Source organism: Homo sapiens, chromosome 15 (assembly GCF_000001405.40).
Source record: "Homo sapiens chromosome 15, GRCh38.p14 Primary Assembly".
In the NCBI taxonomy this organism is placed as follows: domain Eukaryota; kingdom Metazoa; phylum Chordata; class Mammalia; order Primates; family Hominidae; genus Homo; species Homo sapiens.
Window position 1 is genome coordinate 90,413,350 of NC_000015.10, and position 27,051 is coordinate 90,440,400.

Here is a 27,051-nt window from a genome sequence, read left to right on the forward strand (position 1 = left end):
CTGACAGCAGTATAGGTTTGAAAAAGGAAAGTTTTATTAGAAAGAAGGAACTCTGCAGAAGAATGCCTCAGCAAGAGAGAACTGAGCTCGCGGTGGATTTTTCCTTAGGGTATTTATGGAACTTAAAGCAGGAGCTTAAGGGTAGTTTGGACCATATTAGCCAATAGGTCATGATAAATGATTACATTTTTAGACGTAATGTCAGCAAGGGTTGCACAGGGAGTTTCGGCATGGCATTCCAGAGATGTATAGAAAGTCTAGTTGCTTACAAATTTTAGGTTGAAAAGAGAGCTGGAACCAGGTGCCGATTTTAGATAACAGGGAAGTTAATTACTTCTAAATTCCTCAGATAAGAAGTTTTGCCTCTGAATGGTCTCCTTAGTGGACTCCAGGTGATCACTAGTATTTGGTATGTATCATCTCATTTAATCCTTACAACAACCTTATGAAGTTTGGTGTGTTGCTAATCCTGCTTTATATATGGGAAATGGAAGCTCAGAGAAGTTAGCGGGTAACATGTCATTCTTGGTTTTTCTTATGTCCTTCCCTCTTATCTCAGGGAGGAAGTGGGGTATATTCCTTTCTGTAGCTGGCTGCCGCCTCTGCTCTTCAGAACCTTGCTTTCTTTTGTTCTTATTCCTGTATCTTTAGCCCCTCCTTCACGTGTTCTTTTCTTGCAGACTATAAAAATATGCTTTTTCCACAATCATTTAAAAAAAATAAAAAGACACTTTCCCAGGACATGTCACCATCTCAGACTAACTCCTTCTCCGTTCCCCCTAGTTTTTCCTCTTCCTTTCTTACACTTCTAGAAAAAGAAGTTGGCTGGGTGCAGTGACTCATGCCTGTAATCCCAGTACTTTGGGAGATGGAGAAGGGGGCGGGGAGGGAGTTGGGGGTTGGAAGTCAAGAATCTCTTGAGTTCAGGAGTTCCATACCAGCCTGGACAACATAGTGAAACCTTGTCTCCATTATAAAAAAAGTAATAATAATAAAATAAAAATTAGAAAAAGAAGCCTACATTTGCTGCCTCTCCTTCCTACTTTTAGTTACTTTTCTAGTTATTTTAAATGGACTCCTGTGTCACCACTCCACTAAGACTCCCCTTACAGGAGCCAAAGATGACCTTGCTTGTGTGCCACATTCTTTTCTCTTCACCACCCGCCTCTCTGCAGCATTGAAAGCTGGTGACCTCTACCAGTTTGCTGATTTTTTCCTTCCGTGATTGCCATTGTGTGATTCTCTCCTGGTTCTTAACTTGATCACAGACGCTATCTTTGTCTCTTTCACCTCTTAAGTGTTGGTGTTCTCTGAGGCACAGTGCTTCAGCTTTTACATTTTTCTCCACAGCCTCTTTCTCTGTGGGCTTATCTACTCTTGTGGTGCCATTTTCCAGATTTAGGTCTTCAGCAACAGGTCTCCCTCCTGAGACCTGTGTTTCCAACTGCCTACAAGATGCCACTGTCTGGACGTCCCGTTGACATTTCAAGCTGAACATGTTTCAACCGTGAATTGCTCATCCTCTCCGGCTTTTGTGGGTGTCCCCATTCTTGTTTAATGGCATCATCTTTTATGTAGTCATCCATGCCGCAAGTCACCAAATCATCTTTTAAAAAATAAGAAAAAAACCTTCTCTTTTCGTTTTATAGAAGTGTTTGTAAGTTTGCTGTAGATGGTATATGGTGCCGGATTTTCTCCTAGAATTGTGTGTCAGAATGTGGGGCTTCTCGACACACTGGACAACAATGTTATTTTAAAAAATCTTTGCTAGTCTGATAGCTGAAGATGGTGATATTGTTACTTTACTTTGTATTTCTTTGGTTAGTAGTAAGATTGAGAAATTTTCTTATAAATTACTGGCTATATGTATATTTTATGAATTTTTAAATTTGTGTTTCTAGCATATTTTTCTAGGGAAATGTTTGCCATTTTATTTCAAGTGTTTAAAATGTATATACATGTAAAGATTATGGAATATTGTTAGCTCTTTGTTATATGTTGTGATTTTTTTTCCTCCAGTAACCTTTCCTGTTAAAGTTTTATTTAGTTTTTTAAAAATGGCCTTACAGAAGTTTAAATACTAGCCAATTTATCTTTTCCTTTCTGATTTCTGCTTCTGTAGTAGTGTTTGTAAACTTCTTTCTCATTTTAAGAGTATATAACTATTTTTTCTTTTTTAAAAAATTCTCTAATCCATTTGGTGTTTAATGTTAGTTGTGAACCGTGAGGTCTGGAGCTAACTGCTTCCCCACCCTCCATGCCCCCTGCCTTTTCAGTCATCTGTGAGATTTCACATCTTTCCCACTGCCCTTCTAATCCCCGTGCCTCATCTAACAGATTGTCAAATGGGGTCAATTCTACCTTTGTAATTGTTAATCATTCTCTTTCCACCATTGTCCCAGTTAAAGACTGTATTACCACTCACCTGGATTACCGAAATGTTTGCCTGATATTTCTCCCTTGAATCTGTCGTCCATGCTGCTGTCCAAGTTCTCCTTCTAAGTCTACTTGAAAACCTCCCATGGCTCCCATTCCTGCAGGTTAGATTACTAATCCAGATACTTTTACACCTACTTCTCTACCACAGTGACTTACCGTTCCCTGAATGTGCCATTTGTTTTCAGCCTTTTTTTTTGTCCTTTGTATTATGCTGTTCCTTTTTTGTTTTTTAATTTTTTTATTTATTATACTTTAAGTTCCAGGGTACATGTGCACAACGTGCAGGTTTGTTACATAATGTATACAGGTGCCATGTTGATGTGCTGCACCCATTAACTCGTCATTTACATTAGGTATGTCTCCTAATGCTATCCCTCCCGCCTCCCCCTACCCCACAACAGGCCCCAGTGTGTGATGTTCCCATGTCCCTACAAAGGACATGAACTCATCCTTTTTTATGGCTTCATAGTATTCCATGGTGTATATGTGCCACATTTTCTTAATCCATTCTATCATTGATGGACATTTGGGTTGGTTCCAAGTCTTTGCTATTGTGAATGGTGCTGCAGTAAACATACGTGCGCATGTGTCTTTATAGCAGCATGATTTATAATCCTTTGGGTACATACCCAGTAATGGGATGGCTGGGTCAAATGGTATTTCTAGTTCTAGATCCTTGAGGAACTGCCACACTGTCTTCCCCAATGGTTGAAGCAGTTTACAGTCCCTCCAGCAGTGTAAAAGTGTTCCTATTTCTCCACATCCTCTCCAGCACCTGTTGTTTCCTGACTTTTTTTTTTTTTTTTTGAGACGGAGTCTTGCTCTGTTGCCCAGGCTGGAGTGCAGTGGCACAATCTTGGCTCACTGCAGGCTTCACCTCCCGTGTTCACGCCATTCTCCTGCCTCAGCCTCCCGAGTAGCTGGGATTACAGGTGCCCGCCACCACGCCCAGCTAATTTTTTGTATTTTTAGTAGAGATGGGAGTTCTCCGTGTTAGCCAGGATGGTCTCGATCTCCTGACCTCATGATCCACCTGCCTTGGCCTCCCAAAGTGCTGGGATTACAGACGTGAGCCGCTGTGCCCAGCCTGTTTCTTAACTTTTTAATGATCACTATTCTAACTGGTGTGAGATGGTATCTCGTTGTGGTTTTGATTTGCATTTCTCTGATGGCCAGTGATGACCATTTTTTCATGTGTCTGTTGGCTGCATAAATGTCTTCTTTTGCAAAGTGTCTGTTCATATCCTTCCCCTACTTTGTGATGGGGTTGTTTGTTTCTTTTAAATTTGTTTGAGTTCTTTGTAGATTCTGGATATTAGCCCTTTGTCAGATAAGTATATTGCAAAAATTTTCTCCCATTCTGTAGGTTGCCTGTTCACTCTGATGGTAGTTTCTTTTGCTGTGCAGAAGCTCTTTCGTTTAATTAGATCCCATTTGTCAATTTTGGCTTTTGTTGCCATTGCTTTTGGTGTTTCAGACATGAAGTCCTTGCCCATGTCTATGTCCTGAATGGTATTGCCTAGGTTTTCTTCTAGGGTTTTTATGGTTTTAGGTCTAACATTTAAGTCTTTAATCCATCTCGAATTAATTTTTGTATAACGTGTAAGGAAGGGATCCAGTTTCAGCTTTCTACATATGGCTAGCCAGTTTTCCCAGCACCATTTATTAAATAGGGAATCGTTTCCCCATTTCTTGTTTTGGTCAGGTTTGTCAAAGATCAGATGGTTGTGGATATGTGGTATTATTTCTGAGGGCTCTGTTCTGTTCCATTGGTCTATATCTCTGTTTTGGTACCAGTACCATACCATGCTGTTTTGGTTATTGTAGCCTTGTAGTATAGTTTGAAGTCAGGTAGCATGATGCTTCCAGCTTTGTTCTTTTGGCTTAGGATTGTCTTGGCAATGCGGGCTCTTTTTGGGTTCCATATGAACTTTAAAGTAGTTTTTTCCAATTCTGTGAAGAAAGTCATTGGTAGCTTGATGGGGATGGCATTAAATCTATAAATTACCTTGCTCAGTATGGCCATTTTCACGATATTGATTCTTCCTATCCATGAGCATGGAATGTTCTTCCATTTGTTTGTATCCTCTTTTATTTCATTGAGCAGTGGTTTGTAGTTCTCCTTGAAGAGGTCCTTCACATCCCTTGTAAGTTGGATTCCTAAGTATTTTTATGCTGTTCCTTTATGTTACATGTCTCCTTTTCCCATTTTTCACTATTGGAAATAGAATTTATTTGAGCAAAGCCTAGTTCAGATATCATCTCCTATTGTAGCTAGCTGTTAAAGCATAACTGTTACCAGAGAGTAATTCCCTTGAAGGTGCTGACTGGTATTCAGCACAACGTTATACCACTGATAAGTGTTCCACACAGTAGTCAGTTCGAAATGTTTCCTGAATGAATACGTGGGTGTCAGAATAGACACCTTTTTTTTTTTGAGGAATTGACTTAAAATACTTAGGAAAAAAACTTTAAAAAATAGAATAAATATGAAAAGGTATAAGAATTACTATGTAGGCTGAGCAGAGTGGCTCAAGCCTATAATCCTTGCACTTTGGGAGGCTGAGGTGGAAGGATCCCTTGAGCCCAGGAGTTGGAGACCAGCCTGAGTAACATAGGGAGTTGCTGTCTCTACAAATAATTTTAAAAATTAGCCTCGTGTGGTGGTACACACCTGTGGTCCCAGCTACTCAGGAGGCTGAGGTGGGAGCATCACTGATCCCAGGAGGTTGAGGCCACAGTGAGCCGTGTGATTGGGCCACTGAACTCCAGACTGGGTGGCAGAGCGAGACACTGTCTCAAAAAAAAAATTAAAAGACTGTAATTAAAGATAGCCTTTTGTATAAGCATTCATTTTTGTACTAATTGTATCAGCTTCACCAATGTGTAATACTAGGCCTCTCCCTTAGTGCTTGATAGAAGTAAGGGTTGTTAATGAGGTTATATATTGTGGTGTGGGATACTTCAGGAAGCCCAATTTCAGAACTTGAGCATTTGTAAGGGAATGTTCAGTAGGTCGTAACTGTTGTTATTGTTGAAGGAGGAAGTATCCTGTAGCAATTAAGAGTATCAGCTTCATACTGGTTCGTGGCTCACGCCTGTAATCCCAGCACTTTGGGAGGGTAAGGCAGGTGGATGGCTTGAGCCCAGGAGTTTGGACCACCCTGGGTAACATGGTGAAACCCTTTCTCTACAAAAAAAGGCAAAAATTAGCCGGGTGTTGTGGCACATGCTTGTGACCCCAGCTTCTTGAGAGGCTAGGTAGGAGGATCCAGAGGATCGCTTGAACCCTGAAAGTCAAGGCTGCAGTGAGCCATGATCACACCACTACATAGACTCTGTCTCAAAAAAGAAAAAAAAAAAAAAAAGCCAGAGTATGGGCTTCAGAATCACACCAACTTGGGTTCAAGTGAGAGTTTACTTGCCAGATAATCTTGGAATATACTTTTTGGAACCCACAGTTTATCTGTAAAATAATTACAATAATACTTCAGAGGTTGTTGCAAAGATTGAGATAATAATGCATGTAAAGTATTTGGCTTCATGTCTGCCACATGGTGTGAAGATTATTTTTTAAGTGTCATTTATATTGAAAATGAGTCATTCTATGTTACTTCTTTCCTGTTTAGTACTTGTGTTTCAGATCTGACATCACCTTTTTAAAAATTTTGCATTTGAGTGAGATTTGCTAAAGCAGTTCTGGGGTTAAACTTGAAGAGAAAATATTGAATATTTATATTTAATATCCCATGTGAGAGGAGAGATTAAGAACCCTGTTGTCTGCTTGTTACATCTCTTGTGAAAAACATAAAAAATATAAGAGTTTTGTTACTGAACTCTACTTGTGGTTTTGGTCGAGTCTATCATGAAGGTATGTTGTGGAGATTAGTGCAAATAATGATTTAAATATGGAATTATAAAGTTTAGCAGCTCTATATTCGGGGAAAAACGAGTCTCTGTTGATTGAAAAAGCATAATAAAATAATTTATTCTGAGGCTTTGTGGTTATGCAGTGTCAGAATGAAAAAGATGATACTCCTGTTCCATTTCAGGCTGGTCAGACCATACCTGGAACACAGTGTTCAGTTGGAGAAAGTTCAGAGATGAGCAAAAGACGTGAGGGGGCAGAGATGATGTCTAACACTGCTAATATAATACCTGGTAACGTTTTGAGTACTTACTCTGTGCCAGGCACTGTTCTTAGTATTTTATATGTACTATCATCTCTTTAATCCTCATAAACATTCTGTGGGTAGGTGCTATTATTATTCTGTTTTTATGACTAGTGCTTGAAGGAGCTGGAATCATTTTACTTATGGAATTGTCAGCATGTGACTCATCATGAGGGGATAGGAGGAAAGGCACAAATATTTTTTTCAATACCCAGCCAAGCACTGTGCTAGCTCTATTTCACTTGCAATCTTATTTAATCCTCAATGACAAACCTTGGAAGATCCTGTTAGCCTTTTTTAACAAATGAAAGAACTGGTCAAGTGGCTTGCTGTCTTTCTCGGTAAGTGCGAGAGACAGGACATGGAACCAGATCTTTCCAAGTCCATGGCCAGTGCTACTCACATTATGCTTTTATTTTTACGTTCTCTTGCTCCAGGAGGCAGCTTAGGGTGCCAGTAGAGAATTGATGCCGGCTTAGCAAAAACCTTCTGACTACTGGAGTCCAGAAATGAACTAGGTTACCTTGAATGTTTGATTCTCTGTCAGTATTCAGGCTCAGCCTGCTTCCTGATTTGGCTGAGATGTTTTGGGAACATCAAATTGGGGATGGAGTAGAACATGTGAGGGGAGTGGAGGAATTGAGATGGGCTGAAAGATCTTTAATGAGCCTTCCATCCTTGAGATTCTATGATTATTGCTAGGACAGGGTTAAATATGAGAATTGGTGAAAAGTTGTGTTGGCCAGTGATTTTTCTTTTGTGCATAGATTGATTGATTTTGAGACAAGAGTTTCACTGTCGCCCAGGCTGGGAATGCAGTGGTATGATCACTGCTCACTGCATCCTCAAACTCTCAGACTCAGGCAACCCTCCCACCTCAGCCATAGTTTTATTTTTAAATGTCTTTATAGGCCGGGCACAGTGGCTCACGCCTATAATCCCAGCACTTTGGGAGGCCAAGGTGGGCGGATCACTTGAGGTCAGGAGTTCAAGGCCAGCCCGGCCAACATGGCGAAACCCCGTCTCTACTAAGATGTACAAAAACTAGCCGGGTGTGCTGATCCCAGCTACCCAGAGGAGACGGGAGAATTGCTTGAACCCGGAAGCCAGAGGTTGCAATGAGCTGAGATCGTGCCATTGCACTCTAGCCTGGGCGACAAAGCGAGACTCCATCTCAAAGAAAAATTTTTTTTAATAAAGTCTTCATAAAGCTAAATTTATAAAAAAGCTAGAGGCTGGGCGTGGTGGCTCATGCCTATAATCCCAGCACTTTGGGAGGCCGAGGCTGGTGGATCACCTGAGGTCAGGAGTTCAGGACCAACCTGGCCAACATGGTGAAACCCCATCTCTACTAAAAATATAAAAATTAGCCGGTTGTGGTGGCACAAGCCTGTAATCCCAGCCACTTGGGAGGCTGAGGCAGGAGAATTGCTTGAACTTGGGAGACGGAGGTTGCAGTGAGCTGACATCATGCCACTGCACTTCAGCCTGGGCAACAGAGCGAGACTCCGTTTCAAAAAAAAAAAAAAAGCTAGAGATATGGTTTAGCAGCTCTATATTTGGGGAAAAAAGGAGTCTCTGTTGATTGAAAAAGTGTAATAAAATAATTTAAGCTGAGGCTTTGTGGTTATGGAGTGTCATAATGAAGAAGGTGATAGTCCTGTTCCATTTCAGGCTGGTCAGACCATACTTGGAACACAGTATTCAGTAGGAGAATGAATTCAGCCAGGTTTGTTTGTTTGTCTTTTAAGACAGAGACTTGCTCTGCTGTTGCCCAGGCTGGAGTGCAGTGATGCAATCTCAGCTCATGCCTCAGTTTTCCAAGTAGTGGCTGGGATTGCAGGCATACTCCACCACACTTGGCTAATTTTTGTATTTTTTGTAGAGACGGGGTCTCACCCTGTTGGCCAGGTTTTTCTCCAATTCCTGACCTCAAGTGATCCACCCGCGTTGGCCTCCCAAAGTGCTGGGATTACAGGCGTGAACCACTGCACCGGTTCTAAATATTTAAGTTTTATAAGAAAGGTTTTGTGTCTAAGTTGAGAATCACTGGTGGATTTAGTTAAGCTAAAATACCTTTAATTATTAAAAAGTAGGCAGAATGTGGAGAGATACCAGCCTTTTTCCTTCTTGGTATTTCTGCGATTTTTCCCTTTTTAGACAGCCTGTGGAGCTCAACCCCTTTTGGCTTTTCAGGTGATATAGTGAGAGCAAGAGTGATACTGTGAGGAGGATTCTAAACCTAGCAATCAGTCTTGTTATTCCATCTTTGCCACTAGCTATTGGATGACCTTGGATCAGCCTCATTCTTATTTGTAAATGGGAGGAAGTGCAAATAGATTATTAGCCTCTGAGCAGGCTTGTGGCCAGTTAGATTCTTTTTCAATGTTTATATTTTTAATTTTGGAGTTGTACTTCTAAGGACCTTTACTAAGGAATTAATTCTAAATAAAGAAGAACACCGTGCACAAAGATATTCCTTGCACTATTATTTAATGGTTGAAAACATTTAGAAATGACATAAATGTCTAAGATAGGTGACTTATTAAGGACTTGGTTAAATTTTTATGTAAACTTAAAGTCTTCAGAAACTATATAATAACATGGAAAATATAAACATTTCAGAAATGTTTAATAATTGTCTCATTCATATATATATATATATGTATATATATATATGTATATGTATATATATATATGTATATATATATATATATATAATTTTTGAGACAGAGTTTGTATATATAATTTTTGAGACAGAGTTTTGCTCTGTTGCCCAGGTTGGAGTATGGTGGCACGATCATAACTCACTGCAGCCTTGACCTCCTGGGCTCAAACGGTCCTCCTGCTGCAGCCTCTCAAGTAGCTAGGACTACAGGCATGTGCCACCACGCCTGGCTAATTTTTAAATTTTTTGTAGAGACAGGGTCTGGCTGTGTTGCCAGGCTGGTCCTGAACTCTTGGGCTCAAGCAATCCTCCTGCCTTGGCCTCCCAAAGTGCTGGGATTACAGGCGTGAGCTACTGTGCCTGGCCATTTTTAGATATATATTATATTAAAAACAAACAAAGGGATTTTCCCTAGAAGTGCATTTGCTTCCTGGCTCTCAGGTTTTCTGATTCTGTGATTTAGTAGAAGAAGGGGAAATCTCATGTGAGCTGTAGAGAAAGACTGAAAGAAGTGTTTGTTGTGTCATCTTGGAATTCGAGTAGAATCCAAACTTCTGCTAACATTAAAAATGTTAACATGGCACTTTACTTTTCAAAGCAGTTTGGTCCTGATTTGTTCGTTTGTGACAGGGTTTCACTTTGTCACCCCAGTTAGAGTGCAGTGCCACCATCTCAACTCACTGCAGCTTCTACCTCCCAGGTTAAAGTGATCCTCCTGTCTTAGCCTCCCAAGTATCTGAGACTATAGGTGCACACCACCACACTGGCAAATTTTTGTATTTTTAGTAGAGATGGGGTTTCGCCATGTTGTCCAGGCTGGTCTGGAACTCCTGACCTCAAGTGTTCGGCCTGCCTTGGCCTCCCAAAGTGCTGGGATTACAGGTGTGAGCCACTGCATCCTACCTAGTCCTGATTTATTTTATAAACAAACCAGGTGATACTCCATTGTGAAATAGCTCAGATTGGTGGGCAAGCCACATATGTGGTGAGGTGACTTGGAAGGCAGCTTCAGGTTTGAGCAGTTGTTTAGAAACAATGTATTTTGCCTCCCTGTTTATTCTAGCTCATTCTTTCTGTTTAATAACTTTCACCAAATCACAGTTGGCCTTTCTTCTCTGACCTGACACCTGTGTTATATAAAGAGCATTCTACCCAGCTATAGGAAACATCTAAGTCAGGACTGTTTTATAGCAGTTGGACTAGGGAAAGGAAATATAAAGAATGCTGGGAGATGTTACCATGGGCTCTCCTTTTATTTTTGTCTAGAAATCTCAGAAAAGAGGAAAACCTAAATACCTCTGGTAACTGGCTCTGATTCAAGGCAAAAGTATCTACTGTGCTCTTTATCCGTAGTTTTCCCTGTGTGTTTACTTCATTTTAAAAAGAAAAATAAGTAACTTTTTTTTTTTTTGGTACTGTTACGTGCTTGAGGGCCATTTTTGGCTTAGGCTGAGGTTGTTAGGTTTTCACTGTTAATGAGAACCCAAGTTAGATTGTCCCCTGAGAGCTGGAGTTGCCAGTAGTTGTTTGCCAGAATGATTTTATCAACATCCTTTTTAGCAGTAAAAAGATGAGATGTGTCCTTGAACTACACTATTTTCCGTACCGACAACTGCCAATCTTTTCCACATTGCCCTTTGCATCTTTAGGCTGAATAGAGGTATAGTTTAGATTTTTGTAGCCATTTCAAATTGGTATCTCATTTATTATGACAACTCTTCTGGAAAACTCATTTGTTTCATTTTTCCCCTTTCTGACAATTTAAGTTCTACTATTTGAAAGAAAGAAAAGACAGCAGAGAAGCTTATCATCGAGTATAGGAAACAACCAGAAAATTATCTGGCCCATTCATATACCCATCAGGCTTCATGTGTTAGAGAGTACGCTGCCTAATTTAAAGGTAGAGTAGATTTAAAAGCAAGACTGAGCTGGGAACGGTGGCTTACGCCTGTAATCCCAGCACTTTGGAAGGCCGAGGTGGGTGGATCACCTGAGGTCAGGAGTTCAAGACCAGCCTGACCAATATGGTGAAACCCCATCTCTACTAAAAATACCAAAAAATTAGCCAGGTGTGGTGGCACAGGCCTGTAATCCCAGCAACTCGGGAGGCTGAGGCAGGAGAATTGCTTGAACCCAGGAGGCAGAGGTTGTAGTGAGCTGAGATTGTACCATTGCACTCCAGCCTGGGCAACAGAGTGAGACTCCAACTTAAAAAAAAAAAAATTGAGTGAAATAATTTTAAATTAGGAGTTTTAAATCTAGGGTTCCTAGAGTCAATGAAGTCTCTGAAATTACATGTAAAATTTAAGTATATGTATATTTTTCCAGGGGAAGGTTCTATAGCTTTCCTTCGATATTCACAGGATTCTGTGGCTCAGTGGTTGAAAACTGTTGCCATGGTCCGGGTCCAGTGGCTCACACCTGTAATCCCAGCACTTTGGGAGGCTGAGGTGGGCGGATCACTTGAGGTCAGGAGTTTGAGACCAGCCTGGTCAATATGACGAAGCCCCGTCTCTACTAAAAATACAAAAATTAGCTGGGCATGGTGGTGCATGCCTGGAGTCCCAGCTACTCAGGAAGCTGAGGCAGGAGAATTGCTTGAACCCGGGAGGCGGAGGTTGCAGTGAGCTGAGATCATGCCACTGCACTCCAGGCTGGGCAATAGAGTGAGACTTTGTCTCAAAAGAAAAAAGAAGAAAAGGAAAAAAAAACCATTGCCATAAATGATCTTTAGTTACCTATGTTTCCGTTGGTAGAAAATACATGTAACTAAACTTTCCTTTGTTTTATCTTAGGCTTTCTTGAAATGTACTAAGAGATATTTGAAGGGGAAAATACAGTTTTCTTTTTTTCTTTGTTTTATTCTTTTTCTTTTTGGAAAATAGTTTTCTTTTCCTATCCTTTTTACAACCTCCTCCCTGCCTCCAAAAATCTGAGAATTCATTATTTACTGCTTCCATAGGAGTTTCTTTTAATATTTTAGCTGAAATAATTGAGTCTGTTTTGATAACCCCCAAGCAACCTTAAAACTTGGACCTAGAAATTCACTGTGGATTCTGAGTTCTGCAACTGGAAGAGAATGTCAGCAACAAATTAAAGCTTCTGAACAGTTGAAATGGTGGCTTCAGTTACCAATGGCTTTTCTTAGGATTTGTTAAAGAGCAACTTAAGGACTGAGGGAAAGGGTCTGAGGTTCTGGGAGCAGTCAGGATCTGGGGAGCCAGCTGGCTGTGTTGCTGCAGCAGAGGAAAGTGGGGTGGAGAAGAAAGTGGCATTTATGCTCAGGAATTTTCCTAAGTTCCCCGCCTCTGAGATCTGACTGGGCCAGGCAGGGAAAGGATGTGTGTGGAACTGATTGTAAAAGAGTGCTATTATGTTCAGTTTAAGCTTCTCCAAGGAGAATGGAAATAAAGCTTAAAATCTCTAAGGAAAAGTTCTGACCTTCCCTTTCTTTTTTTGCATCCTCTCTCCTTTGGTGCAGGTGGATGGAAGCATGCCTAGGGGAAGATCTGCCTCCCACCACAGAACTGGAGGAGGGGCTTAGGAATGGGGTCTACCTTGCCAAACTGGGGAACTTCTTCTCTCCCAAAGTAGTGTCCCTGAAAAAAATCTATGATCGAGAACAGACCAGATACAAGGTGAGTCCTTCCTTGCTTTGTGCTTAGATTTCTGTCAACTTGAGAAAGTTAGCATGTTTTATTTTGTGTAAGAGTTATTGAGAAGTCTGTGTAAGGTGTGTTTGTTGCAACAAATTATAGCCTTTAAAATGCCTGGCAGAATGGAGAAATTTGTGCAAAGGCAATATGTACTAGGCAAATATTATTACATCTCTTTTAGAATTTATCTGGAAAGCCCGCCTCCCCCCTACCCTGTCCCCCCACAAAAAAATATGTACTAGGAAAAGAACTTTAGCTGTCTTTGTTTCTGGTAGAATTCTTATGATGTTATATATCTAGAAATTTTCCTAGTTGTAGATGAATTTTTTAATTCTTTAGAAGGTAGAAGAAATAACTAGGGGAATTACCACTTTAAATCTAGTTTTGGGGCCGGGCGCGGTGGCTCACGCCGGTAATCCCAGTACTTTGGGAGGCTGAGGTGGGCGGATCACAAGGTCAGGAGTTCGAGACCAGCCTGACCAACATGGTGAAACCCCGTCTCTACCAAAAATACAAAAATTAGCCGGGCGTGGTGGTGCATGCCTGTAATCCCAGCTACTCAGGAGGCTGAGGCAGGAGAATCGCTTGAACCCGGGAGGCAGAGGTTGCAGTGAGCCGAGATCATGACACTGCACTCCAGCCCTGGGTGTCAGAGTGAGACTCCATCTCAAAAAAAAAAAAAAAAAGAAAGCCTAATTTTAGGCTGGGCACACTGATTCTCACCTGTAATCCCAGTACTTGGAAGGCCAAGGTGGTAGGATCACTTAAGACCAGGAGTTTGAGAGTAGCCTGGGCAATATAATGAGACCCTGTCTTACAAAAAAAAAAATTAGCCAGACATGGTCACACATGCTGTAGTCCTGGCTACTTGGGAGACTGAGGCAAGAGGATTGCTTGAGCCTAGGAGGTTGAGGCTGTAGGGAGTTAGTATTGCGCCACTGCACTCCCACCTGTCTCTTAAAAAAAGAAATGAATTTTAAGCACTGAGATTTGTTGGCAAATTGAATGCAAAAGTAACTTCATGAAAAAACATCACCCTGCGTTGCTGGAGTTCAAGGTACAATGGGAAAGTGATTCAGTTTCAGAAAATTGAGATAAGTGAGAGGGTTTGATTCCTGTATCTCAAGGTGCTATAAAAAAGAAGACTGACTGCTTAATTAAGTTGGAATGTTGGGCCAGGCCCAGTAGTTCATGCCTGTAATCCCAGCACTTTGGGAGGTTGAGGCGGGCGGATCACTTGAGGTCAGGAGTTCAAGACAAACCCGGCCAACTTGGTGAAACCCCATCTCTACTAAAAATATAAAAATTAGCCAGGCTTGGTGGCGCACACCTGTAATCCCAGCCACTCAGGAGGCTGAGGCAGGAGAATCACTTGAACCCAGGAGGCGGGGGTTACAGTGAGCTGAGATAGCACCACTGCACTCCAGCCTGGGCAACAGAGCAAGACTCTGTCTCCCAAAAAAAAAATGGGGATGTTGACAAGGACCAAATTTTCTTGTCTACAGAGGTTACCTGTGAATCCTTATTTGAAAAATGATGACTATGAAAGATAGTGGAGAATTGCATTACCAAGACCAAATGTAAGGGTGGTCAGCTGTAATAACTGGGCCCAAACTCAGAATGAGTAAGGCTACAATGTCAAAGAGATAATTTTTATGTTTTATGTTTAAATTCAAGGGAAAACAAGGAACGGTATAGGTACTCAGCCAAAATTAACATCATAAACAGAAACTTTCCTTAAACAAAAAGACTTATATGTTCAGTGGGTTTTTTTTGTTGTTGGTTGGTTGGTTGGTTTTTGTTTTGAGACAGGGACTTGCTGTGTCACCCAGGCTAGAGTGCAGTAATGCCATCATGGCTCACTGCAGCCCTGACCTCCCTAGGCTCAAGCAATCCTCCCACCTCAGCCTCCCTAGTAGTTGGGACTATGGGAGCATGCTACTACACCAGGCTAATTTAAACAAATTTTAGTGTAGAGATGGGGGTCTCACTATGTTGCCCAGGTTGGTCTCCAACTCCTGGGCTTAAGTTATCCTCCCACCTTGGCCTCTCAAAGTGCCAGGATTACAGGCATGAGCCACTGTGCCCAGCCCTTTGCTCAGTTTTGAATACACAGTTATTCTGAAGACAACTCTGGAGCTATTCTGTAGGCAGAATGGGAAGATAGTGTAAAAGGAGAGCGGAGACTCTGCAGCAACAATAAAAAAAAAATGGCTGGGAGGAGTGGCTCATGCCTGTAATCCCAGCACTTTGGGAGGCTGAGGTGGGAGCCCTCACTTGAGTCTAGGAGTTTGAGATCAGCCTGGGCAACAAGGTGAAACCTCCGCTCTACAAAAAATAGAAAAACAATTAGATGGGCATGGTGACATGCACTCGTAGTCCCAGCTACTCAGGAGGCAAAGGTGAGAATATCGCTTGAGCCCAGGAGGTGAGGCTGCAGTGAGCCGATTGTGCCAGTGAGCCGATTGTGCCAGTGCACTGCAGCCTGGACAACAAAGTGGAGCCCTGTTTCAAAAAAAAGCAGACATTGAAGTTTAGAGGGGATATCTGTATATATAGAATGAAAGCCCTGATTGATTTTTTTTAAGACAGAGTCTCATTCTGTCGCCTAGGCTGGAGTGCAGTGGTGCCGTCTTGGCTCTCACTGCAACCTCTGCCTCCCAGGTTCAACGATTCTCCTGCCTCAGCCTCCCGAGTAGCTGGGATTACAGGTGTGCACCACCACACCTGGCTAATTTTTGTATTTTTAGTAGAGATGGGATTTCACCATGTTGGCCAGGCTGATCTCAAACTCCTGACCTCAGGTGATCTGTCCACCTCGGCCTGCCAATGTGCTGGGATTACAGGAATGAGCCACCGTCCCAGCGTGGTATTTTTATACAGCATTTTGTGAACATCTATGTATTCAGACACCATACTAATTTGTTCATGTGCATTATCTCACTTAGTTTTTATACATACAAAGCAGCTGTTCTAGATGGTAAAACTCTGTCCCTAAAGGATGAAGTGGCTTTTCCAGTGTCACCAGTAGATTACTAAGCCAGTAATTGAATCCAAGATAATTTAACTCCAAAGACCACATGTTCTGTTGAGCACACTATACACAAGAAGGCTCTCCAGGTAGTTGCTAAGTGAGAGGAGCTGAGATGTGGATTTGGCTTTTTGGTATTGGAATGTGAGCATAATGACATCAAAATTAAGGAAAATTTGTCAAATCTCTTGAGGAAACTTTTGCGAAGAGAGTTTTTATTTAATATTTGCTTCAATACAGCCAATAATACCTAATTTTCTTTTTTTTTTCTAGGCGACTGGCCTCCACTTTAGACACACTGATAATGTGATTCAGTGGTTGAATGCCATGGATGAGATTGGATTGCCTAAGGTAACTTACCTGAGATAATAGTTTAGGCTTTGTTCCAGCTGTTGTGGCATAACCCTCAAACAACCTGTTCTCATTCTACCTGTAAAATTATTCTCAGAATCTTTGGTGTTTTTTTAAATACTAAAAGATGTCTTTCTTTTTGACTTAGGAAATAGTTTTGTTCTTTTTCTTTTATAATCCTCATACCTGTTTCATCTTACCCTAGAGAAATTCCCTGTGATGATATCTACTTTTACTACATCAAATTGTAGACTTACATTTTACTATTTTTCCTTAGATAGAATTCACATGCTGTGAGATTCACCATTTTAAAGAATACCAAATCAGTGGTTTTTATTTATTCACAAAGTTGTTAACATTAAAATTTGACCTTTGGAAATATAAGGAAATATTTTAGAAATCTGTAGGGAGTATGAAGGGTCATTTTTTATTTTAAATTGTAGAGGTGGTAGAATGACGTTTACTTCCTGGATCTGTTTTTGGTCATGGCTGCAGTTTTGTTTGGAGTGTACATCTTCTGGGTGTTCTGCTCAGGAGTTTATTTAGTGTTGCTTTCAGTGAAATTGCCATCCCAGTCCTGTCTGAATCTATAACTGCCACACTGTATGGTCACTCTTAGAGACATGAATGGATTGATTGATTTCATTCTTTCTTTTGTTCTCATTTTTTTCTGTTTATATCCTTTGACGTAAGAATTCCGCTTCTGGGAAGTTATCCGAAGTAAATAATCAGAAAGCACCAAAAAAATGTATACAGAAGGATTTTTTAGCATTGATTATGATAGAAAAAATTGATAGCAAAGTACATGTTTCTTTACAAGGGGTATTAATTGTGTTACAGCCAAATACTAGTGCCATTTAAAAGGATATCAACCCAAGTAAAGGGCCTTTGATGTATTAAGTGGGGAAAAACGGTTGAAGGTTATAGGAGTTTGTGTTCTAGCTAAGATCAGATCACTATTTTTGTGTAAAAATAAAGTGAGTGTTCTTGGGAAAAATTTGTAAGGAGATAAAATGGTTTTCATTTCTGTGTGATGGGATTAAGGGTGGTTTTTATTTTCCTTGTACTTTCCTGTAGAGTTCAAATTTTTGTAACCAAAGGAAAATTTATTTTAAAAAAGTGAGGTGTAGGGTATCAGAAGGTGGCTAAAACCATTTTATATTTTGTATTTTGTTCAATATAGAAATATTGTATACATTTTATATTTTGTATTTTGTGCAATATATAAATATTGTATACAAATATGTATATTATATAGATAAATATATGACTTATACAATATATTACAATATAGAATATATTGTAATATAATTTTACAATATTATATAATATACAATATATAATTACATATTGTAATATATAATCATATATACAATATATTATATATTATATATACACAATATATTACAACATGTAATTATATATTACGTATATAGTATATTGATATGTATACAATATACAACAGATATGCATTGTTGCATACATACCTGTGGAATTGTGTTAAATCAGAACTGAGTCTTTGCAGAAGACTAGCTTTTCTCCTCTTTTTTTCAGAGAAAGTTCTGAAGTTCTCTTCCTTGCCACTGGTATGTTTGAGAATTAGGCCCCACAATTGTTAGGAAATGCAGTACGTCAAGTTCTTACAGCTACGTGGCCTGTCTGTGCACCTGTAATTTCCTTTCCCTGTTTTTTAATATAGTATAAAATACTGTGCTATATAGTGTAAAATATTACACTGTGCACCTGTAACTTCCTGTTTCTGTTTTTTATATAGTATATTGCCAGTGGGCAATGACAATAACCTCATTTGAATGTTACTAAGAGCTTTGTTAATATTTGCAATTGCTAGTAGTGTTGTTACTACGAGATGCTTTTTTAATGATGTAATTTTGTTACCTTTTTTGGTTTACTAACAGTAGTATATTGTCCTGGACTACAATTGCAACAAACACAGAATGTATTAAAGGCTTTCAGGAACAACTTGATAATCATGGCTGTAAGCCTTGAATTGTCCACCCTACGTTTAGGCCCAGAAGACTTCTGAGTAATAAGAACTAATGATAACCTAAAAATGTATTGTTGTTCTTAATATAATGTATAATACGTAATTGACAATACGTATATGGTGTTTATTGGGATGTCTTTTCTAATCTCTTTATATGGTACATGCTGGCCTATTATAGAAAATTCATGCAGTCATTTTTTGGTTCTTATCCTTTTTGACTCTTTATTATAATTGGTACTGTTGGCTGCCTTTTCCCTGAGATATTTCTTAGTTTGATTTTTAAAATTGTTTTTAATCTGCTCAACTAGTCCTGTTTTCTTTAATTATTCTACCTTCCATGTCCTAGTGATGGACATACTTTAAGATGCAATCCTTGTTAGATACATTTTCCCATTTTCATGGTTTCATTTATTCTCAAGACTTGCTGACATAAGATAAACACGGTATCTTCAGTTGGCTGCTGGACATTTCTCCTTGGATAGCTTTCTGTCACCTAGAATTTTTCATATCTAAAACTAAATCTACCTTTTCCCCAACTGAACTTCCCTTCCTCTATAATAAATGGTACCATGTCATCATTTTCCCAGTCATCCAGTCTCAAAACCTTGGAGATACCTTGAACTTCTAAATCTGGTCATTCCCTAAGCCTTCTCCATTTATTTGAAATATCTCTTTTATCCATCTACTGTTACAACAGCCTCCCAGCATACCTCCCCAGCTCCCATCTCCCATTATTCAACATATGCTGTGTCCTGTCTCCAGTCAGATCTCCCCAGGGCTCTATTTTTATCCTTAGCTCCAAAGCTAGGCTACTTCTTTATGTCCTGCTTATCAAGTTCAGACTTGTCTGACTTTCAAGTTGCTTATAATAATCTGATTTTATCCTACCTATCCAACCTTATTTTTCTGTTATTTTCTAGAACGTATTCTGTAGATTTTAAAAAACAATAGGGTATATTGCCTTACTGTCTCACAAACACATCATGATTATTTTTGCTTTATTTATTCTGGCTATTTCTCTTATTTGGAAGGCCTTTTGCTCTCTATCATGATTCACTCATTTCTTTAGTTTATGATTTCACAGTCTTAATATAGGCCTTTATTGCTTATCCAAATTCTTCTCACCTCATTATTCAGTCTTTTGCTTCTCCGAACCACTGTCACCCCTTATTTCCCTAAATTACAGATTGAATTGTATGGTGCCACATGACTGTGAGAATAGGCCTTGAAGTTCAAGGCTATTCCCAGTCTAAATCTACTCTGTTCCTATCCTACCTCATTCACTAACTCATCGAATGTAGAGCTTCCATGACCCTGGCTCTGGGCTTGATATCAAAGATATGGCAGTTAATAAATAACATAGATCTAGCCCTGCCTTCGTGTGGCTTATAGTCTGTTGGAGTAGCCAAACAGATAAACACAAATGATCGATTTTGGTAAGTGCTACCGTGGAAAAGTACTTGTCTTCCAAATTCCCTCATACATGCTCTATTCTAGCTACTTCATCTGTGTAGCTTCCCATTTCTCCTAAGCATTAAACACATTTTAATATTTTATAGTTTTTTTCAATGTCTAAATGTAGCAGGTTGCACAAACTAAAGCACTTAGTAAATGTTCATTGTTGAGTTGTTTCTCCATCTAGGCATGGTAGATAGTAACTAGGAGCATTGTAGTTCTGAAAGCCTCATACTCAGATCAGTCCAGTGATTTAAACTGGACTAGAACTTGGTCTTCATATGCCTGTGTCTGGGTCTGAAATAAGTAAATCACCTTCTCACACCTAATGAAATTCAGTGGGTTGTCCAAATAGAGATTTTCCAAGTAGTACTTTTTATTCTGTATTATAGCACTTTATTCCTTGCAATTCTTATGATGAAATGTCTGTTCACCCTAATGAAGTTATTTGCTGAATGCCACCGATGTTTTCTAAGAATGCCACCGATGTTTTCTAACTGTCCATAGTTTGATTTGGATTATTGATGATTGGTGAATGTCAGATGAACACAGTGAATGGATATCTTACTCTGTTTCTTTTATTTCTCCCTAGATTTTTTACCCAGAAACTACAGATATCTATGATCGAAAGAACATGCCAAGATGTATCTACTGTATCCATGCACTCAGGTAGTCAAATTTTCTTGGCAAAATAAGGAAATTATGAATAACATCTGAATTGAGTGTGTAGTTTTTTATCCTTGAGGTAAGAATGAAAAAGTTTTTTGATTAGTTTCAAAAGTTCCAAATAGGATAAAATACTATTATCCGAACAAAATGGTGAGAAACAGCTGTGTTTTTCTAGGGAGTTTGGAGAAGGGATTTATTTATTTAATAGCAGGTAATTTTCTTCTAAAAACATGGTATCTTTCATAATTGATCTAGTATTTCTGTGAACTATGCATTCACTTGGGGTGCAGTCTCTTGTTTAGTTAGGTAGGTCCTTGCCATTGTTAAGCCATTTGTTCATTCATTCAATAATTTTTATAAGCCGGATGCGGTGGCTCACGCCTGTAATCCCAGCATTTTGGGAGGCCAAGGCGGGTGGATCACCTGAGGTCAGGAGTTCAAGACCAGCCTGGCCAACATAGTGAAACCCTGTCTCTACTAAAAATACAAAAAATTAGCTGGGCATGGTGGCGGGTGCCTGTAATCCCAGCTACTCGGGAGGCTGAGGCAGGAGAATTGCTTGAACCCGGAAGGCAGAGGTTGCAGTGAGCCAAGATTGCACCATTGCACTCCAGCCTGGGCAACAAGAACGAAACTCCATCTAAAAAAAAATAATAATAATCATAATAATAATAATAATTTTTGTACCAACACAAACATGATAGTAAGAAATGATACAAAATATATTTTTTTCCCATAATGTCATGGTAAATTTGGAATGTGACTTAATTTTCAGGTCCCCAGAACACTAAATTAAATAGGAAGGAAAAGATGCAAGTCTGGAAGGATGGTGGGATGGCATATTAGTAGATGCTTATACAGGTTGAATATCCCTTCTCTGAAATGCTTGGGACCAGAAGTGTTTTGGATTTTGAAGTATTTGCATTATACTTACCAGTTGAGCATGCCAAATCTGAAATGCAGAATGCTCCAATTATAGCATTGAGGGTCATGTTGGTGCTTAAAAATTTTTAGATTTTGGAGCATTTTGGATTTTGGATTTTCAGATTTGGTATACTCAACCTGTGGTACAGTAGTGTAGTATTTTAGCAGATTTACTTGATGGCCACAGGACTAAAGAAGAAGATGGCAGAGCAAGTGGGACATGAGTGAGATATTTGCTTGGGCTGCACTTCTTATATGGCATCCTCTATGTGTGCTTGCTAAGTGTTAATTACATTGGAGTAGGTATATAATACTGATCTATAAGAAGACTATTGTCTCCAGTTTCTTGAGCAAACATGTACTAGATCTGTGGTATCATTGGAATCAGTGTGAAACATATGAAAGAATGAATATAGCTGAGAACTTGTGGATCTCGTGTTGAGAATGTAGCAATTTCAAATATGTGTCTGAGGCTGGGTAGGTACAGTGGCTCTCACCTGTAATCCCAGTGCTTTGGGAGACCAAGGTGGGAGGATTGCTTGAAGCCAGGAGTTAGAGACCATCCTGGGCAACGTAGCGAGACCCCATTTCTACAAGAAATAAAAAATTAGCTAGGCATGGTGGCATTCACCTGTAGTCCTAGCTACTCTGGAGGCTGAGGTGGGAGGATCACTTAAGCCGAGGAGTTTGAGACTGCAGTGAGCTATGATTGTGCTACTGCACTTCAGCCTGGATGACAGAGCGAGACTCTGTCTCTAAAAAACAAAACAAAACATTACCAAATATGTGTGTCTGAGTCCAGATCAGATTAATTCTGAGTATTTTGTTTGGCTTAGTGTTGCATGAGATTTGTCCATGTTGATAATCTTGTGAAGGCCTTACCTGCAATGGATATCTGAACGTGGAAGCAGAATTCCTCTCTGCTAGTTGTGTAGCCACTACTCTGCAGTGTAACCTGGGTTCCAGGCCCTCAAATTCTCTGTAGTAGAGCCTAAAGAATTAACTATGCCTTCCTAGTGGTAGAGTCAGAATGAGAAAGAGAGGAAGTCTGCTATTGTTTTCCATTTCTCTTGAATATGTAGTCTGTGCTTAGAAAGTATATATAGAGCAGTGTGTTTCGTGATTTATGGTTTCTTTTTTATGGTGTTTTTCCTGAAGGGTGGATTGGCAACATTTGATAATATGTAGGAAGTATTTATAATTGCTGAAAGTGCCTTCTTTTACCACAAAACACAGCCATGTTCAAAGCAGGTTCCTCACCTTGCTATATTGGATAAGGCTCCATCTCCCTTTGGATCAACAGTGACAGAAAAATACTACCTCTCTGTCTCCTCCCTGCTTGCCTTTTTTTTTTTTTTTCCTCTAAAGTCTTGATTGGCATTATTCCAGAGATAGTCACTGTACTTTAATCATACTAAATTACTTTTGTAGATAACATTCCACTCTCAGATAAGACCCCAGTTTTCCATTCTCAAAATACTTGTATACTAAGTTTGGTGTAAGCTCATTTGTCTCCTTAGTATGATTATGTTTGTGTGTTTCTCTGCAGAAAGTAATGGATTGGATTGAGGATGCTGCCCCAGGGCTTGCTGGGGATACTTTATGATACCATATACACTGTAAATAGAAATACACTTTCTAATATCTGAGAAATTCAATATTCAGACATATCTGGCTCCAAGAATTTGGATAAGGGACTGTGGACCTGTAGTAGATTCTGTTTCCTAATCACCTGCTGTGTTTCAGGGTCTTTATTAATAATCTTTGAGATTGGCATAGTGACTTCTAGGTTACTCACCATTCACAGAAAAGATAATTAGAATCCAGATAGATTAACATAGCTTCCTTCTGCCCATTGCTACAAAGTACAGCTTAAGTAGGAAATAAGAAAAATAAATCTAAGTGCAGTTACAGGCTGACGCATTATAGTGCCTAACAGTATATTTGTAGAAGTAGGCATGGGAGAGCAGGAGCAAAGATTGGAAAGTGCTGTTCACCATTAGGGTTTATAAGTTTCAGTGTGAAGCTAAGTACTTTTGATTGTGGGTAAGAGGACTTAACTGGCCGTTTTGAATCCTTTCATAGCTCCAGTGTCTCCATAAAATACTCGTAATAATTAAAGAGAGTTAAAAGAAAGATGGTGCCCATGTCTACTTTTTATATTAGCCAGTGATACGGTTGTAGCACCTTTAATTTACCACTGAAAGACATTAAAAGCTAAGTCAGTGTTCCTGGTACTGTGAAAGCAACTGTATTAGTCCGTTCTTGTACTGCTATAAAGAAATACCTGAGACTGGGTAATTCATAAAGAAAAGAGGTTTAACTGGCTTAAGGTTCCACAGCCTGTACAAGAAGCATGGCTGGGGAGACCTCCTCAGGAAACTTACAATCATGGTAGAAGACAAAGAGGAAGCAGTCACGTCTCACGTGGCAGGAACAAGAGGAAGAGAGAGGTGGGGAGGTGCTTACATACTTTTAAAAAACCAAATCTAGCGATAACTCACTCACTGTTAGGAGAACAGCACCAAGGGGGAAACCTGCCCCCATTGATCCAATCACCTCTCACCAGGCCCCCACCTGGGGATTACAATTTGACATGAGATTTGGACAGGGACACAGACCCAAACCATATCAGCAACATTCTTGAACTTTCTTAAAATTTCTTGTTCGCTATTTCCAAGTAGGAATAAATGAGAAAGAAATTCTTGGAGAAAAATATTCTCTTAATTAAGAATGCAGATGTGATGTATTAGTGAGAAAAATATATAAAAAATATATAAAAATGTATAAAAATATATAGAAAGTTATTAGTTATTTTGCTTTGGAATTTCTTTTTTAAAGAGGCAGGGTCTTACTCTTTTGCCTAGGCTGGAACGCAGAGGTGTGATCTTGACTCATTGTAACAACCTCCCAGGCACAAGCTATCCTCCTGCCTTAGCCTCCCAAATGGCTAGGACTACAGGCATGCACCACCATACCTGGCTAATTAAGAAATTTTTTTTGTAGAGACAAGTCTTGCTATGTTGCTCAAGCTGTTTTGAATTCCTGACCTCAAGCTATCCTCCTGCCTCTCTTTCTCAAAGTACTGGAATTACAGGTGTGAGCCACTACACCCAGTCTGGAGAATTTTTTGAATACATTTAAAATCTTCTGAGACAGGCGCTTTATATATCCATCTTGAGTCTTTTACCTGAAAGAAAAGCATTTAATCATATACACATGACTTATACTTGCACTTCTCTGAGAAAATGTTTAGCTTCTGTGGATGTATAAATTCTAGTGTGTTTTGAGAATACTTGATTTTTGTTTTTCTATTATACATTTGGGTTTATTATATACAATTTAAATTTTGATCAGTTCTGTGATTGCAGTGTACATGATGCGTGTTTGTATTTAGATGATATTGAGGTTTATAGATTATTTACAAAAACTGTATACCACTTTAAGTTTCTATGATTTATTTCTTATATATTTCTTATTTCCCTGCTTACTTTAAACTGTCAATATCTTGCTTTTGTCAGTATCTGTAAAGTACCCTTCTGATCTCTTCTAATTTATTGATTCTGATCAGTTAGGGCTTTAGAATCCACTTAATAACACAGGCTTATGGACATTAATTTATCCGTCCATCCATCTGTCAAATATTGATTAATGTTTATTAATATATGCTAGGCTCTGGGTAAACATTAGTGAATGAGCCCTGTATTGTCCCTGCTTTCATGAAGCTTAGAGTCTAGTTGATTTTTTTTTAAGTTTAAAAAGTAAAAATAATTTTCACCAACCTGATAATTAAAAAGTAAAAATATATGAAATATTCTTTATCTAAAACTGTTAAATTACCTGGATTAAACTTTTCCATCAGTAATATGAATTCAGTTTAAGTAAGATTTGCCATCTGAATCATTTTTATGAAGCTTTTCTAAAATGTCTTATTATTTAAAACTTATTGATTACAGGAAGGCAAACAAATGAAGAGACACTTCACATTATATTAACATTAATGTTAACATCTTTTTTTTTTTTGAAACGGAATCTCACACTGTTGCCCAGGCTGGAGTACAGTGGTGTGATCTCGGCTCACTGCAGCCTTTGCCTCCCAGGTTCAAGCAATTCTCCTGCCTCAGCCTCCTGAATAGCTGGGATTACAGGCACATGCCACCACGCCTGGCTAATTTTTGTATTTTTAGTAGAGACAGGGTTTTGTCATGTTGGCCAGGCTGGTCTCAAGCTCCTGATGTCAGGTGATCCGCCCACCTCAGCCTCCCAAAGTGCTGGGATTACAGGCATGAGCCACTGTGCCTGGCCATTAACATCTAATTATGCATTGAGTTTGTGCCAGAACCGGGACTTTAATTTGTGCCTACTGATTTCTCCCAGTCCAGTGCTCTTTGCATTGTGTTATGTGACTTTTTAGGACAATGTTGTCATGTAAACTAAAAAAAAAAAACTGAGGTAAATAGCGTATTGTAACTACAAAGGAGACTGTCGTAGGTACTGGGAGTCTCAGTGTTCAGAATACTTCTATTTTATACTTCATGCTGATTTTCGCCTTTTAAGGGTGGCAGCTAGGCACAGCTGGGAGGCCTAACCTTTTGCATATTGTATCTTCTAGTTTGTACCTGTTCAAGCTAGGCCTGGCCCCTCAGATTCAAGACCTATATGGAAAGGTTGACTTCACAGGTAAGGAGTTAGATACTTGGCAGGAAATGCTTGAATTATGTGGAAATAGCCTGGAGAGCCAGCAGTACCAATTTTGAAGACCTAGGGCTTTAAAAATACACTGGCAGTGGAGGTGAAAAAAATACGAATAACTTGCTTCTCTAATGTGGGGTAAAGAACACTAAACTTGAAATTTCAAGCTCTGTTCTCTCACTTAATAATGTGAACATGATTAGTGAGTCTCAGTTTTCTTATATGTAAATTGGGGATAACATTAACATATATAAAACATAATAATGTTAACACATAACACTAAATGTTCGGGTATGTTGAAAAAAGCTTTATAACTATCTTTCCCTTTCCATTCCAGCAAGCATCTGTTGTGGGCAAAGCAAGAGGGAGAGTGGGGAGTGAGATGACACAAAGATGCCAATTTAGTAATTTTAAAATTTAAGCTTATTTGGGTGGGTGTTTCTATGTGTATTTGCTATAGCCAGATGCTTGAAGAGATGAGGGGTTGGGGAGAAAAAGGGCAGTGGTAATACTGTTTAAGGGTAAGATAGATTCAAGTCTTTCAAAGTGGTGATTATTTTGTAGGCTTGAAAGTTTAAAAATTGGTAAGAAAGTTTTTGTCCATGATATTTTTTCCTTCCAGGGAAGTTATTCACCAGACCTGGGGAAAGGACCAGACCTTACATGTTTTCTTTATCATTTGGCTTTCTGCCTTAGAAATGAAATTGTTGAATAGCAGCTAATGATTGTAAAGACTGAGATAACTGACTTAGTTTGTGATTCACTTATTGTTGAGCTCACGTTAAAGCTGTTCCATTTATAAGTTCATTGTAGGAAATGCCATAAGTAGCAATTTTGAAAAACTATTTCCTGTAGGACCTTCTCACTTTATAGTTATTTTTGATGCCCTTGATAATAATAACGTTTGACTACATTTTATATACTAGTTACTGTGTTAAGTGCTTTCCATACATTGTATCTTTATATCCTTATAAAACCCTAAAAGGTAA

The 27,051-nt window shown here is 39.3% G+C and overlaps 1 protein-coding gene across 2 annotated transcripts in view, besides 3 other annotated features; it reads left to right on the forward strand.

Annotated features, from left to right (window-relative positions):
- Window positions 1-27,051, forward strand: part of IQGAP1 (IQ motif containing GTPase activating protein 1) — a 113,998-nt gene that overhangs the window by 25,108 nt on the left and 61,839 nt on the right. For both annotated transcript variants that reach the window (NM_003870.4, XM_047433204.1), the window contains exons 3-6: window positions 12,761-12,917; window positions 16,240-16,317; window positions 20,370-20,446; window positions 25,983-26,050. In NM_003870.4, the coding sequence (NP_003861.1) occupies window positions 12,761-12,917; window positions 16,240-16,317; window positions 20,370-20,446; window positions 25,983-26,050 (380 nt within the window). The remainder of the gene's footprint in view (window positions 1-12,760; window positions 12,918-16,239; window positions 16,318-20,369; window positions 20,447-25,982; window positions 26,051-27,051) is intronic.
- Window positions 1,012-2,211: an enhancer, noted in NCBI's record as "MED14-independent group 3 enhancer chr15:90957593-90958792 (GRCh37/hg19 assembly coordinates)". NCBI's record gives its function as "activates an origin of replication core promoter dependent on BRD2, BRD4, P300/CBP and CDK7 cofactors, and independent of MED14, by STARR-seq in HCT116 cells {active_cell/tissue: HCT116}" and the evidence as "EXISTENCE:reporter gene assay evidence [ECO:0000049][PMID:35650434]".
- Window positions 6,420-6,469: an enhancer, noted in NCBI's record as "active region_10077". NCBI's record gives its function as "activates an Ori minimal core promoter by ATAC-STARR-seq in GM12878 lymphoblastoid cells {active_cell/tissue: GM12878}" and the evidence as "EXISTENCE:reporter gene assay evidence [ECO:0000049][PMID:35858748]".
- Window positions 23,715-23,915: a silencer, noted in NCBI's record as "peak2420 fragment used in MPRA reporter construct". NCBI's record gives its function as "represses an SCP1 promoter by STARR-seq MPRAs in K562 erythroleukemia cells {active_cell/tissue: K562}" and the evidence as "EXISTENCE:reporter gene assay evidence [ECO:0000049][PMID:32103011]".